Below are 13,104 nucleotides of genomic sequence, written 5' to 3'. Positions count from 1 at the left end.
CCCCGCCCACAATATATATATATTTTTTAAAAACTTCTGTCTTTCATTCTCCTGGCTGAAGGTTAAACAAGATGAATGATAAAACCTAGACAATAAAAAATGATAATTACTTTTGTTTGAGAACAAATCCTCTCTTGTTTAATAAGTACTTAGTATTCTCAACATTTAGTCCATTTGAGCAACTTTTGCACTCTTGATCTCAATCCTGTACCCATCCTACATTTGCCATGAAGTATGATGCCCTAAGATGATGGAATAAAACAGTAACAGTTTCTGGAATTTCTCAGAGAAAAGATCTCTGCCACCAGCATTGTTTTGTCTCTCTCAAGTGAAATCAGAATCTATGTTTTCCTCCTTCCACTGTTCATAATTCATGGCTAATTTTGCTTCTTGCATGCCTATCGAAAAACAAACATGATCTTTAATTTTCTTTCACATGCTATCTCTGTCAACTTCTGCATCATTAGGAAGCCCATTTTCATTTGTCTTTTCCTTTTCCACCCTTTTTTCCCTTCTTCTTCTTGTTCTAAAGAGAACACTAGAAATAGCATTAATCATGGAAAGATTATGTTAAAAATCTAGAAATCACGAAATGAAATGCGATATTTCAATGATATGATTTCATTAACTTCTCAAGTGCTGTGAAAGTATTCAGAAGCCCCCTTTAAAATCCCCACAAAATTATTTTCAAAGTTCTGCATCCTCTTCTGGGTAAATCTGCTTTTCTTTCGAAGCAGCATTCAAGATGCAGTTTAAAGTTCTCATTCAATTTTACTTTTTCTTTTATTTAATTACTAGAATTACAAGAGTTCTATTTTCTACACATTTTCACAGCAAATGTACACTATTTCAGATACATTAAGGCTAAATGGTCTTTTGTGGATGAGCCTCAGGGGAAACATAACCACCATTTGTAACTGTTTCTGCAGGAAAATGAATTCCGAGTTTCAAACAACTGATTTACAAATGAACCTTTGGATAGCTATCGCTTGCCATTTGTAAGTGGAAGACATCTTTCATCTTTTATCCTGTAATTTTTTTTTTTTTTTTTTTTTTTTGCATTGTAAGCCTGACAAGGTCATCCAATGAAATGTGTTTCCAGGACAAGACGTGATCAGTATTCCCAGTTAGCTGATGCCAGGAAACACTACACCCTAGAGGGATCTGGACCTCTTGCTACTACTTTTGACATCTCACTCCCTCAAAAAGGCAGACCTAGACAATGTCATATCACTAATTCTACTAGCCTTGGACCTTAGAAAGGTAACTGAACCTCTTAGTTTTCCCATCTATAAAGTGAGAAAAGCAACCTTTACGGAGTATTGTAATGATCAGAGGGATATGTGTAAAGACCCTACCAGCACCTGATATTTAAAATAAATGGCTAACAGAGGGAGCTATCACTTTTATTACTATTACCATTATTATTATTACTAAGATGGTGTATCACTCTGTGGCACCAACTGAAGTGCAGTGGCTGCAATCACAGCTCACTGCTACCTCAACCTTCCCGGGCTCATGTGATTCTCCCACCTCAGCGTCTCAAGTAGCTGGGACTACAGCACTTCACCACCATGCCTGGCTAATGTTTTTTTGTGGTGTTTTGTTTTGTTTTGTTTTGTAGAGATGGGGTCTCTCTGTGTTGCCAAGGCTGGTCTCAAATTCTGGGCTCAAGCTATCCACCCACCTAAACCTCCTAAAGTGCTGGGATTACAAGCGTGAGCCGCCGTGCCTGGCCAGGAGCTAGTATTATTAATTCAAAGCATTGATTGGAATCAGAAAGATTCAGAATTAAAATCAAGTTAATTCAACAAAAAACAAGCATTGATTCCTTATCACCTGGGCAGCACTGTGCAAGGTACAATTGGGGTACACAGGTTGGGAGAAAGACTGGGTAGTGTAACCTAAAGGAGGTTCTAAGTCTCAGATTGCAACAAACAATATGAACCAACTCTGATCTCTAGACATCTATTTTGTTTGATCCACACAATGCTTCAAACTTTGAATTTGTTGTCAACATTTAGAAGCCAGAAAATATTGCATGAAAATAAAAATCTTAAAAAATGTGCACGCATGTTTCTGCCTGGCAATAATTGGGTGGTGTTGAAAACTGGTTGTCTTCTTAAGCGTCTAGAAGGCCTTCATTTCACCACACGCTCTACCCAGTCTAGTACATTGATTTACTTGCTGACCTCTCTAAGCAATTGAGTTTGCAATTCCTATTTTGAATAATATGTTAAAACCATATCCCTTAAAGGGTTCCTTACCACTTACTATTTTAATAACAAAGTGTAAGGTTGCCTCTTTATTTTATGAAGTAAAAATAAATCCACATCACAAGAAATCAGCAACTGGATAGGCACCTGTCAGTGTAGGGCTCTAAACTAGTCACTAAAGGTTTCCTTTTTTTTTTTTTTTGGATATGGAGTCTTCCTCTCTCGCCCTGGGAGGCAGTGGCTCTATCTTGCTCACTGTGACTTCCGCCTTCCGGGTTCAAGCAATTTTTGTGCTTCCGGAGTAGCTGGGACTATAGGCATCTGCCACCATGCCCAGCTAATAGTTTTCTATATTTTTAGTAGAGATGCAGTTTCATCATGTTGGCCATGTTGGTCTTGAACTCTTGACCTCAAGCGACCCACCCACCTCAGCCTCCCAAAGTGCTGGGATTACAGGCATGAGCCATCGCGCCCTGCCAAGGGTTACTTTTCAAAGCGAACAGACAATTGCTTACGTTCTATATTATGGATGATAATAATAAGAATGGTTCACATTCGCTGGTGCTTAGTGCCAGCACCTATTCTATGCTCCTTACCTACATTAATTCATTTAACCCTTCTAAGTACTTTTGGAGTTAGGTACTATTATTTTCTTATTCAGCACAAAAGAAAGCTGAGGCCATGCTCCAAGAAATTAAACAACCTGCCTAAGGTCACATAGCTCTGACAGATTCAAATCCCGGAAACAGAGTCGAGATTCAAAGCAAGCAGTCTGGTGCCAGGGCCAGTGCTCACAACTATTGTGTAATAAAGACCCTTTGCTATGGTCCATCCTTTCCATGATGATTTGAATTGTTATGCTTAAATATATGCATATAAATACTATATATACACACAACTATGCATACACAATACATATATATGAACAAACCACATAAATACATATATGTTTATGTTATTATTTTCCATTGATAAAATACACATTGTCAATATCAGATTGCCTTAGTTATTGTGGCTTTATAGAATGTTCTGATACATTTCTTGGCAATTCTCCAGCATATTCTCTCCCAAACAAGTTTTAGTATGACAGGTCCATAATAAATCATATGGGATTTTTAATTAGAATTGCAATAAATTTATAGATGAATTTGTGGGAAATTATCATCCTAATAGTATTATTTCTTTCCAAGTTTATCTCACAGAAGTAGAGAGTGGAATAGTGATTCCAGAGGCAGGTAGGGGTGGGGGGAAGCACAGCCAAAGGTTGGTTAACAACACAACGCACAGCTAGATGAAAGGAATACATTTTAACATTCTATACCACTGTAGGTGACTATAATTAACAACATTTCTTGTATGTTTTCAAATGCCTAGAAAAACAGATTTTGAATGTTCCCAACTCAAAGAAATGGCAAATGTTTGAAGTGATGGAGACGCTAATTACTCTGATTTGATCATTACACATTGCATACATGTATCAGAATATCACACTGTGCTCCATAAATGTGTACAATTATTATAACTTAATTACAAATAATAAAAGCAAAAAATACTTCTATTATTTTAGGTTGAATTATTTAAAAATTGTTTTTATATTCAATCAGAGTAAGCTCATTGAAAAGATCTTAGGTTGGAAATGAGAAGTAAGAGAAAGGTGAACTTGCAGGAATATTGTTTTTTTAACATGTGCTACCCTAACCTGTTCAGGGACTTTGTGATCTAGATATCAGGAAGTGCTGCAGCAGCCATTGGCTGGGAGCAGGGAAATTGTATCAATAGGATGAGCCATTTTCAGTGTAGATGGAATAGAAAAGCTCCTCGAAAAGGCATAGAAATGCATTGCAATAGAAATGATGGATGCAAGGTAAAGAGTTCCACTGGGAAAAATCAGGAGGCTGAAAGAAAATGTGGAGCACAAGGGGGAAAAGCAAGTAAGCACTAACATTTACTGAGTGCTACACTCCGTCAGGCCCTGTGCTAAACACTTCGTATGTGTCCTTCTAATAGCACCTAAGACACGTGGACGATATTATCTTCATTTTATAGGTGAGAAGGCCAAAGTTCAGAAAACTTAAGTTACTTTTCTACGTTCACACAACCAGGAAATGTTAAGAGCAAAATCTGAACCGAGGTCTCTGAGTCCAACGCCCATGATTGTTGTACTCTATACAGAACGCAATAGTTCCCCTCCAGTCCTGGGCATGCTCAGGTGTTAAGATGGTTAGAGACTTCTGTGTGACAACTCTGACAGACACAGTGGTCATTTTATGGAGAACGGGGAAAACTAACATAATGAGTGGTATCATGCCATATATAGCAGCTCTTTTCAATACAATATAATGGATAATTATTTATTTATTATTTATTATTTTTTTGAGATGGAGTCTCACTCTGTCATCCAGGGTGGAGTGCAGTGGCACGATCTCGGCTCACGTCAATCTCTGCCTCCTGGGTTCAAGCGATTCTCCCGCCTCAGACTCACAAGTAGCTGGGACTACAGGCATGAGCCACAGCTCTCGGCCAATGGACAATTATTTAGGGCAACAGAAATTAATACGATTTGCTCTAACAGTAAGTGGAACAGCTCTGTATAGTAGAGGATATAACCATGGACAAAAAGAGGATAGAAATACAATAAAAAATTAAAAACCTTTGTTCTGTGAAGGACACTGTTAAGAAAATGAAAAGATAAGCCACAGACTAGGAGAAAATATTTTCAACAACCATATCTAATAAACGATATGTATCTGAAATATTTCTTTAGAAAACCTCTTACAAATCAACAATAAGAAAATAAATAACCCAGTTAAAAATGGGCAAAATAACTGAACAGACTCCCCACCAAAGAAGATATACAGGTAGCAAATAAGTATATAAAGAGATACTCAGCATTATTTGTCATTAGAGAACTGCAAATTAAAACAAGAAGATACCATTACGTGCCTATTAGAATGACTGAAATCTTAAAAAAATAAAAAGACAATATCCATACTGCTGGTGAAGCACACTGCTGGTCAGAATGCAAAATGGTATAGCCACTTCGAAAGACAGTTTAGACTTACCATATCCCCCATAAGTTGCAATTTTAGGTATTTACCCAATTGACTTGAATTTATGTCCACACAAAAACCTGCACCTGAATGTTTCTAGAAGTTTTATTTATAATCACCCAAAACTGAAAGCAACCGAGTTCTCCAGAAGGTGAATGGATAAACAAACGGACACATCCACAGATAATATTACTTAGCAATAAAGTAGAATGAGCTATTAATCCATGCTACAATGTGGATGAATCTTAAATGCATATTACTAAATGAAAAAAAGCCTATCTGAAAAGGCAACATAATCTATGATCTTATTCACACGACATTCTGGAAAAGGCAGAAATACATGGACAGAAAACTGATCAGAGATTTGAAGGGGTTTGGGGAGGGAGACAGTTGACTAGGTGAAGCACAGGAGATTCTTTTAGGGTGGCGAGAGTATTCCACACAGTACCATAGTGATGAATATATGACACTGTGTATTTGTCAAAATTCATAGAACTTTACAGAGCAGAGAATAAATTTAACATAGGCAAATTTAAAATAACTAGTAGATTAAGAGATCCTGGGATGAAATGCACACTTCGACAAAAAGATGTAACTGTATGCTAAGTATATAACATAACTTCACTGAAGAGGGTGGGTTAAAGACTGTTGACCTAAGTAACTTTGGAAATTATTGGAAAGTAGAAGATAAAAGGGCAAAGGAACTGCACATGAGCACTGTCCTCTAGTTGGTAAAGCTATTTTTCAAAGGAACATAACTTACCAGTCCTGAAGCCACTCTTCATGTATGTATACCTGGATGGAAAAAGTAAGTAAATGAACCAATAAGAGTTAGATCCAATTTTCTCAGTTTTCAAATGGGAGGTTACAGACAAGCAAAGGAGGAAGACTAGAATGATCCATGTGGTACAGTACTAGAGTAGGAAACATCATTGTGAACTCATGCTTAAATATTTAATATGGACACAGATGGATGGCTATTGAAATAATTATAGATATGTATACATACATGGGTTAGTATGCACATATAGATTTCCTAGCTCTGTCCACTGAGAGGGCCTAGAAGCGATGAATCCCCTGTAGTGACCAGCACACCCAGCACCAAGATCTTGGTTTCAAAAACCATTCTCCAATGAAAGAAACCAGAGTCCTCGGGGAAATTGCTGATTCTAGGGCCAAGGCAGGGAATATACAAGATCATCCTGGAGCTTATGATGGTATCAGAAAGTAAGGAAATGCTTACAAAACAAAAATGATAGGTGTAGGCTAAAAGTATGCAGGAGCTAAGTGATTGAATAAATATGTGATTGAATAAAGTCAACAGGGGGTGGGAGAAGAGGAAGAGACAGATATCCGAATAGAAGAATTTTAAATAATTTATGTTGATACTTGCCCTGTCTCAAGGAGATAGAGAATAATTCCCCACCACGTAAGGGTAGGCGGTGCCAACTATTGCTGCCAGAGAGTATGGTGTGCGAAGCAGGGGGAAGAGCGTTTTATAGTGGAGACACCTGAAACACTGTCTTAGCCAAGTGAGCTAGGTTAACAGCATCAGTGATAAGTCACGTTGATAGCATAGACCCTTGTTAGGATATGAATTGAATAGTATATCCCTTCTGAAGTTTTCCTCCCCAAAGCCCATAACCCCAGTCTAATTATGAGAAAAACATCAGACAAAATCGACTTGAGTCACATCCTACAAAATCAGGGACCAGTACTTCTCAAAACTGCCAAGGTTGTCGAAAAGAAAGTCTGAAAAATTGTCACAGTTCAGAGAAGGCTAAGGAGAAATAATGACTAAATGTCATGTGTTAGAGGGGATCCTGGAACAGGAGGTTAGGGGAAAAGTAATAAAGTTAAATAAAGTATGGAGTTTAGTTAATAGTAATGTGCCACAACGTTTATTCCTCATTGTGACAAATGTACTATAGTAGTGTAAAATATTAGCAATAGGGTGGTATATACGGCTCTGTAAAATCTTCGCAACTTGTCGGTAAATATCAAACTATTCTAAGACTTTAATGTGTATTTTTTAATAAAGAAAATTACCTGGTGTTACGGGATAATGTTTCATTCCAAGAAAGCTCCATATCCATTTGCATTGATCATCCTGGTGAAGCCCTTTCTTGATATCACACTCTGCTCCAGTTTTCTCTCAACTGCGATGAATTTGAAAGAATATTGTAGCACTTCCTTTCGATTCAGCAGGGAGACTTCTGTATCTTAGATGGTCGAGGCCTCATTATTTCCTACCTCCTAACCAGCATACCAGCTCCACGCAGCTCTCATCTCCCTCCCTCTCTCCACCTGTCTCTTTTTCATTTTCCATTCTTCTTATAGCTAAAGGTTGAAGATATCTTCTATCATATTTGGTATGTACCAGGTACTTGTGTATATTATTTCTCTAATCCTCCAATTTACGGATGGCAGCACTGAGCCCCAGACTGTTTAATTAACATGTCCCTGGCTAGGAGGCTTTTAAGTGCAGACGGCTGATCAAAATGAAAAGCAAGTATTTGTCTCCGAAGAGCAGGCCCTCTACACCAGCAAAATATTACCCTGTCTTTCTTAAAGCCTTCTAGGTCTTCTTTCATCAAGTGTTTAATGCAATATGATAAAGAGGAGGCTGGTCTTAGAAAAGGAGGTTGATCATTATTGGAGGCAAGAGAGTGTGTGGGAGAGGCTAATTGGTTGAGGGAGACAGGTAATCAAATCCTAAGTAAAGGCAACCTTGAAAGACCGCAACCATGGAAAACAAAATTGTTCTCTCCTGGTGAACCAATGGGATCAGGAAAGAATTTGCAGGCTTGGCGCCTCTCTTTATTTCCCCCTGCAACAAAGATGGCTCAAAAGGAACATTGTTAAGAGTGTTTTGCTCACTCAGCAATGAGGCAAGCTCATTAAGAAACTGGGGGCTGTGCCAATGGGGGCTCGCAGGGGTAGCCAATTCCTAACTTCACAAGATCTCACCTGCTGAAAATCATATGGAACTCAAATGCTAACTCATTCAGATGAAGCTTCAAATTGATGACTTTAAAGAGATTGAATAAACTCTTTATGTTACAATCTGGCATGTGCTTTTAATATTAACTACTACATATTTTATAGACTGTATTTGTTGCCAAGCACTAAAACAAACATTAAGCTGGTTTTGCCTTAACTGGTACTATGAATGCTTCCAAAACAGTGGGTATAAAAAGCCGCATAAAACACATCATAGTCATGAAAATCATCTGCATTAAACTCACATTTGCCATGAATGTGGCAGTTATTTTTCATCTACAAACAATTATATCACAATTACTTACTCTCTGTTAGGAAACATTTCATCAAAAACTCTCATTTAATTGACATAAAAATGCATTTTGTTCAGAGAAAAACATAATCTCTAATTTGTCCTAATGAAAGAAATAGGCATTCTGAATTAGTGAAAGGCTCATGTCTATTGAAAAATATGCCTCTTTATTAGTTTATATACAGAAAGTAACGCAAACTAAGCTACAAAGCTTACAGTAGGTAAAGAAGGACCCAAAAGAAAATAGTCCTATAATGAATAAATAAAAGTAACACACAGTATTCTATATTTTCCATAAAATGGAGGCTTGAAAAAATTTGTGTCATAAATAAGTTAAATGTACACCTTGTGTCATCCTGTTTAAATTGTGAATTTACTCAGTAGTTTTTTTCAATCACCCAGTTATAATAGGCACATCTAAATCATATACTCAGAATTATCACCGTTCAGACAAAGGAGCTTTTTCTCTAGGAAGTAATTGTAATTAAACCCTAGCTATATCAGCTAATCTGAAATTATATGCAAAATGTCTATAGATTATAAAAAGTCAGTACTATACCAAAACACAAGAAAGGATTGAGCATTACTAGTACTGATCATTTTATATGTCAGTTTCCAAAAATACTTTTTTAGAAAAGCAGACATTTGAACACAAACATATGCTCTTAGAATAGATAGATAGATAGATAGATAGATAGATAGATAGATAGATAGATAGATAGATATCATCCCAAATGCATTCGGTTGCTATGGAATGATTTTCAGAAAGTAAAGTACTCTATTTATTTTCATATCCAGCCCCATTATCATCTCAGCGTATTGCTGGTTATAATCTGTAGAAGAAAATAGAAGACATTTTTCTTGGTCTAACATACCTTGGTAGATGGTTTGTAAGAAGATTTCAGGTAATGAAAAGGTCTTTAATGTCACTGTACCCTCTGCACTTCATGTCTACCAAGGAATAACCTGTCACCACACGGACCATAGCAGCCAAGCAAGTTCCCCAGGAATGGATGGCAGGGGTAAGTCACCATGATAACAGGACATAACCCTCTTTACTACTACTCAAGAAATATTAAAAACATAGCTACATTAAAATAACAGAGTAAGTTCTTGTAGTAAGTCACATATAAAATAAAAAACAACTATTGAAACAAAGATTCCATAGTAAAACTGTAGTATTCAAGTGGCAATACCTTACAATAAACTAGATGATTATCCATTGTTATTTAATTTAAATTGCTTTCATCCTTTTTGAACAAAGCATAGCTCACCATGAGGCCTCTTGTAATACAGAGGGGATAATTCCCTTCGAGATCCCAAACTGACCCCATCAGCTTTGCATGTATTAAGGAATAAGGAAAACCCAGGGAAGAGGAAAGGAAAAAATATATATGATTTTCCCAAGTCTCATAAAAATTTTTGACACCAGTCTCTGTAAGTAGACCTTGTACAGATCTTTCTAAACTGTAACATGTTTCTTACCCCTAAGATTGTCATGCTGCTTGTATTAATAGCATGGACCACTGACTGATATAATCAGTGATGAAGGTAGTACCAATTTAGGACCCTAGAACAAAATCTGTCCTGGCATAAGAGCCAGATCACTGGTTACATCTTCTAGTAGTACATGTTACATGCTGCATGTCAATGTCCTGCTGAACAAGAGAAGAAGGTCACAGCAACGGTAAGAACAGCATGATATAGGGAACGGCAACCATGACAAACCCAATATCTTCAACACTCATTCTGCAAACAATTCTTTAGCTCGTTTTGTGTTATACATTCCTTAACATTTTTAGAAATTTACTTAATTGATGATTGTAGCAATTTGCCTATATTATTCTCCTCTTTCTCAGACCCATGTTAGGAATATAGTAAAATATCAGTCAGAAGACAATCAATCTTATCAGAGTGATTTAGTCTTTGTAATTCATTTCATATTATTTTGCCTTACTGTAGTTATATTTTTGTTGATCTATTCATTATAACACATTTCCCAATAACTCAGAGATGATTGTGAAACTGGACAAGATGACCTTCAACATTGTATTGACTTTTATTAATGATCTCTTCAATAGTGCATTTGCTTTTATCAATGACTCCTCAAAAAAAGTAGTAATAATAATGAAGATGGCTATTATTTATTATTTTTAAAAATACTTTGCATGTATCATGTCATTTAATTGCTATAACTGTAACATAGAGAACATTATTATCCTATCTAACAGATGAGAAAAGAAGGTTCAGATGATTTTGAAAACTTGCCTCAGATAATATTGCTAAAAGCGGCAAGCTGGAATATGAATTGAGGCAGTTCGATTCCAAAGCGCACATTGTTAGCAAGGATATAATATTGCCTCCTGAAATAGATGGTATGCCTTTGGCTGACAAAATATACATATGTCAAAATTTTCAAGTTCATCTGCTTTTAAGAAAATAACTAGAGCAGTCAACCTCTTTATTTAAAAAAAAATCAGTCTCAAAATGCAGAATCTTAGATTTCATGACAGGCAAATAGGGGAGAGATGAGTGGTCAAGTTGTGATTCTCCCACCCTGAGATGATTTCCTATTTTATGAAAAAGGGTAGAGTGAGAAGTTCCTAGATTAATATAGAATTTGAAGATTGCCAAGCAAGATGCTATCAGGATGAGAATTCAGATTCTCAAGAACGGGGTACTATTTGTTAAGGCTTTGCCAGGAAAGAAACTCTGGCAGAATAGCACAGGATAGCCTGGAAGACTGAAATATGGAGGCAAGAAGATGACTGTTCTGGAAAGAGACCAGGAATGGATGATGAAATGGTCTTTTTGAGTCAGTCTCTGTATCTTTCTACCTTGTTGATTTTCAGATTTACCCTGCAGCCTCAGCCTGCCTTACCCTTGAAAAGAGAGTTCCGACAGCACATAAGGAATATTGTTGTGTTGCTTTCTGGGTTAACACTGGTCTGTCTTCTGTTCCAAGCAGGCATAGAGGAATAATTCAGAGAACATTATTTGTTACTATTTTAAAAGGAACACTAACCATCCTCAGCATGGAATGGTGATAGCTGTGCTACTTTGGCCAAGACAGGAGCAGGGATAGGAGCAGAAATGCAGGAGCGTCCTTCCTGCTTTGCCTCTCACTCAATACCTAAGTGTTGGGGCTTTGCAAAGCATAAAATAAAAATCACTTGTTATAGAGAAAAGAGACAGGGTATAGAATGTTATCCCAGGGGTATAAATATCAGTTCTTCCATGTGATTTGGGGGCAGACTACTAACTCTCCGCCCAGATTCCTCCATCTGTAAATCCTGATTGACAAATGCTGCATCCTCTGAGTGTTCTTTGGGTGGCTCAACCATCCTCAGTTTCAGAAAGGCCCAAAAATAGACTGCTACAGTGGCTCCCAATTCACAGAAGCCATGAGACCAGAATGACCCAGACCTACTCCTAGTCCCGGAGTTTCCTCACCTGCAACAACAGCTACCATGTAAGCCAGTGGTTAATTCTGCTCCCGAGAGGACACTAGCAATGTCTGGAGGCCTTTCATTGTCACAGCTGGGGAAGGGGCTACTGACTGGTAGAGGCCAGGGATGCTGCCAGACATCCTACGATGCCAGTGACAGACCCACAGCAAAGAGTGGTCTGGCCCAACATGTCAATAGCACTGAGGTTGAGAAATCCCAAGTTAGAGCAAGTGAAACCAAATGGATATAGTTTATTTGTATTGACCAACAGAGTCTGCGTAAGATACAACAGACGCAGGATCTGTTCTCTCCTGAACATTAAGAATGAACTCAGTTTTTATTTATATATCCAAGTCTATCCTCCTTGATCTTACTCTTAATCTATTCCACAAACTCAACTCAAACTCTTTCTCGAAACTTCTCACTAGATGGAGTTAGATCAGGCATAGATAGCATCACTTTTATTAACTGTTTTCTACATTTGTCCATGGCTTTCTTATTGTGGCATTGGCAGCAGAACTTGGACTCTATAACCACAGTGTCCAGGAATAGACCACACACACTGTAATAGGATATTTGTTCCTATATTTCCCCACTTTATGCTGGCTTCATATCTGCCCTTGGCTTATTGTACTCTAGTGATCTCTAGAACATATGCTGCCTCTTATGCCCTATTTTAATTACTGGGAAAAATTCAGCCCAGTACTTTAAATGCCTGAAATATTTTGTACGTGTAATCACAACCACTCTCTTAAGCAGTTGCCTTTCCAAAATGTGTTGCAATTTATAAAACTATACAGTGTATATATACTTCATTATATACTGCTATTTTTATTCAACAACATACATTTCCTTCTTCATGTTATCATATCCTGTTGATAATAAGTATGTGTGTCTTATAGGACTGTGGTTGACATTCAACACAAAAAAAATCTAAAATGTTTTGCAAATACTTGAATCCCATATATATTTCTGACATGGTTGCTATTGTTAATATTCTTACCCTGATCCTGGCTAGACCAAGATTGCTACAGATGCCTCTGCCTGGGCCTCTAATGTTAAGAAGTCACTAGTCCAAATGGACTTAAAATCAC

At 37.3% G+C, this 13,104-nt stretch overlaps 1 protein-coding gene across 10 annotated transcripts in view; it reads right to left on the bottom strand.

The window, feature by feature from the left end:
• The window catches only part of DPP10 (dipeptidyl peptidase like 10), a 1,403,140-nt gene that overhangs the window by 1,376,325 nt on the left and 13,711 nt on the right, over positions 1 to 13,104 (bottom strand). For 3 of the 10 annotated variants that reach the window (NM_001178036.3, NM_001321912.3, NM_001321908.3), the window contains exons 1-2: positions 7,316 to 7,879; positions 6,030 to 6,061 (exon numbers count right to left, since the gene is read on the bottom strand). The exons of 5 other annotated variants lie outside the window; for them this stretch is intronic. Coding sequence is in view for 2 of the 5 variants with exons in the window: in NM_001321908.3 (NP_001308837.2) it covers positions 6,030 to 6,061; positions 7,316 to 7,368 (85 nt within the window). In the remaining 3 variants the exon portion in view is untranslated. Of the gene's footprint in view, positions 1 to 6,029; positions 6,062 to 7,315; positions 7,880 to 13,104 lie in introns of those variants that run through there. 2 more of the 10 variants (NM_001321905.3, NM_001321911.3) reach the window with 1 other exon arrangement.

The sequence above is a fragment of the Homo sapiens genome, chromosome 2 (genome assembly GCF_000001405.40).
Source record: "Homo sapiens chromosome 2, GRCh38.p14 Primary Assembly".
Classification (NCBI taxonomy): Eukaryota; Metazoa; Chordata; class Mammalia; order Primates; family Hominidae; genus Homo; species Homo sapiens.
Note: the sequence above shows the minus strand (reverse complement) of the source record. Positions and strands in the feature narration are given on the sequence as shown.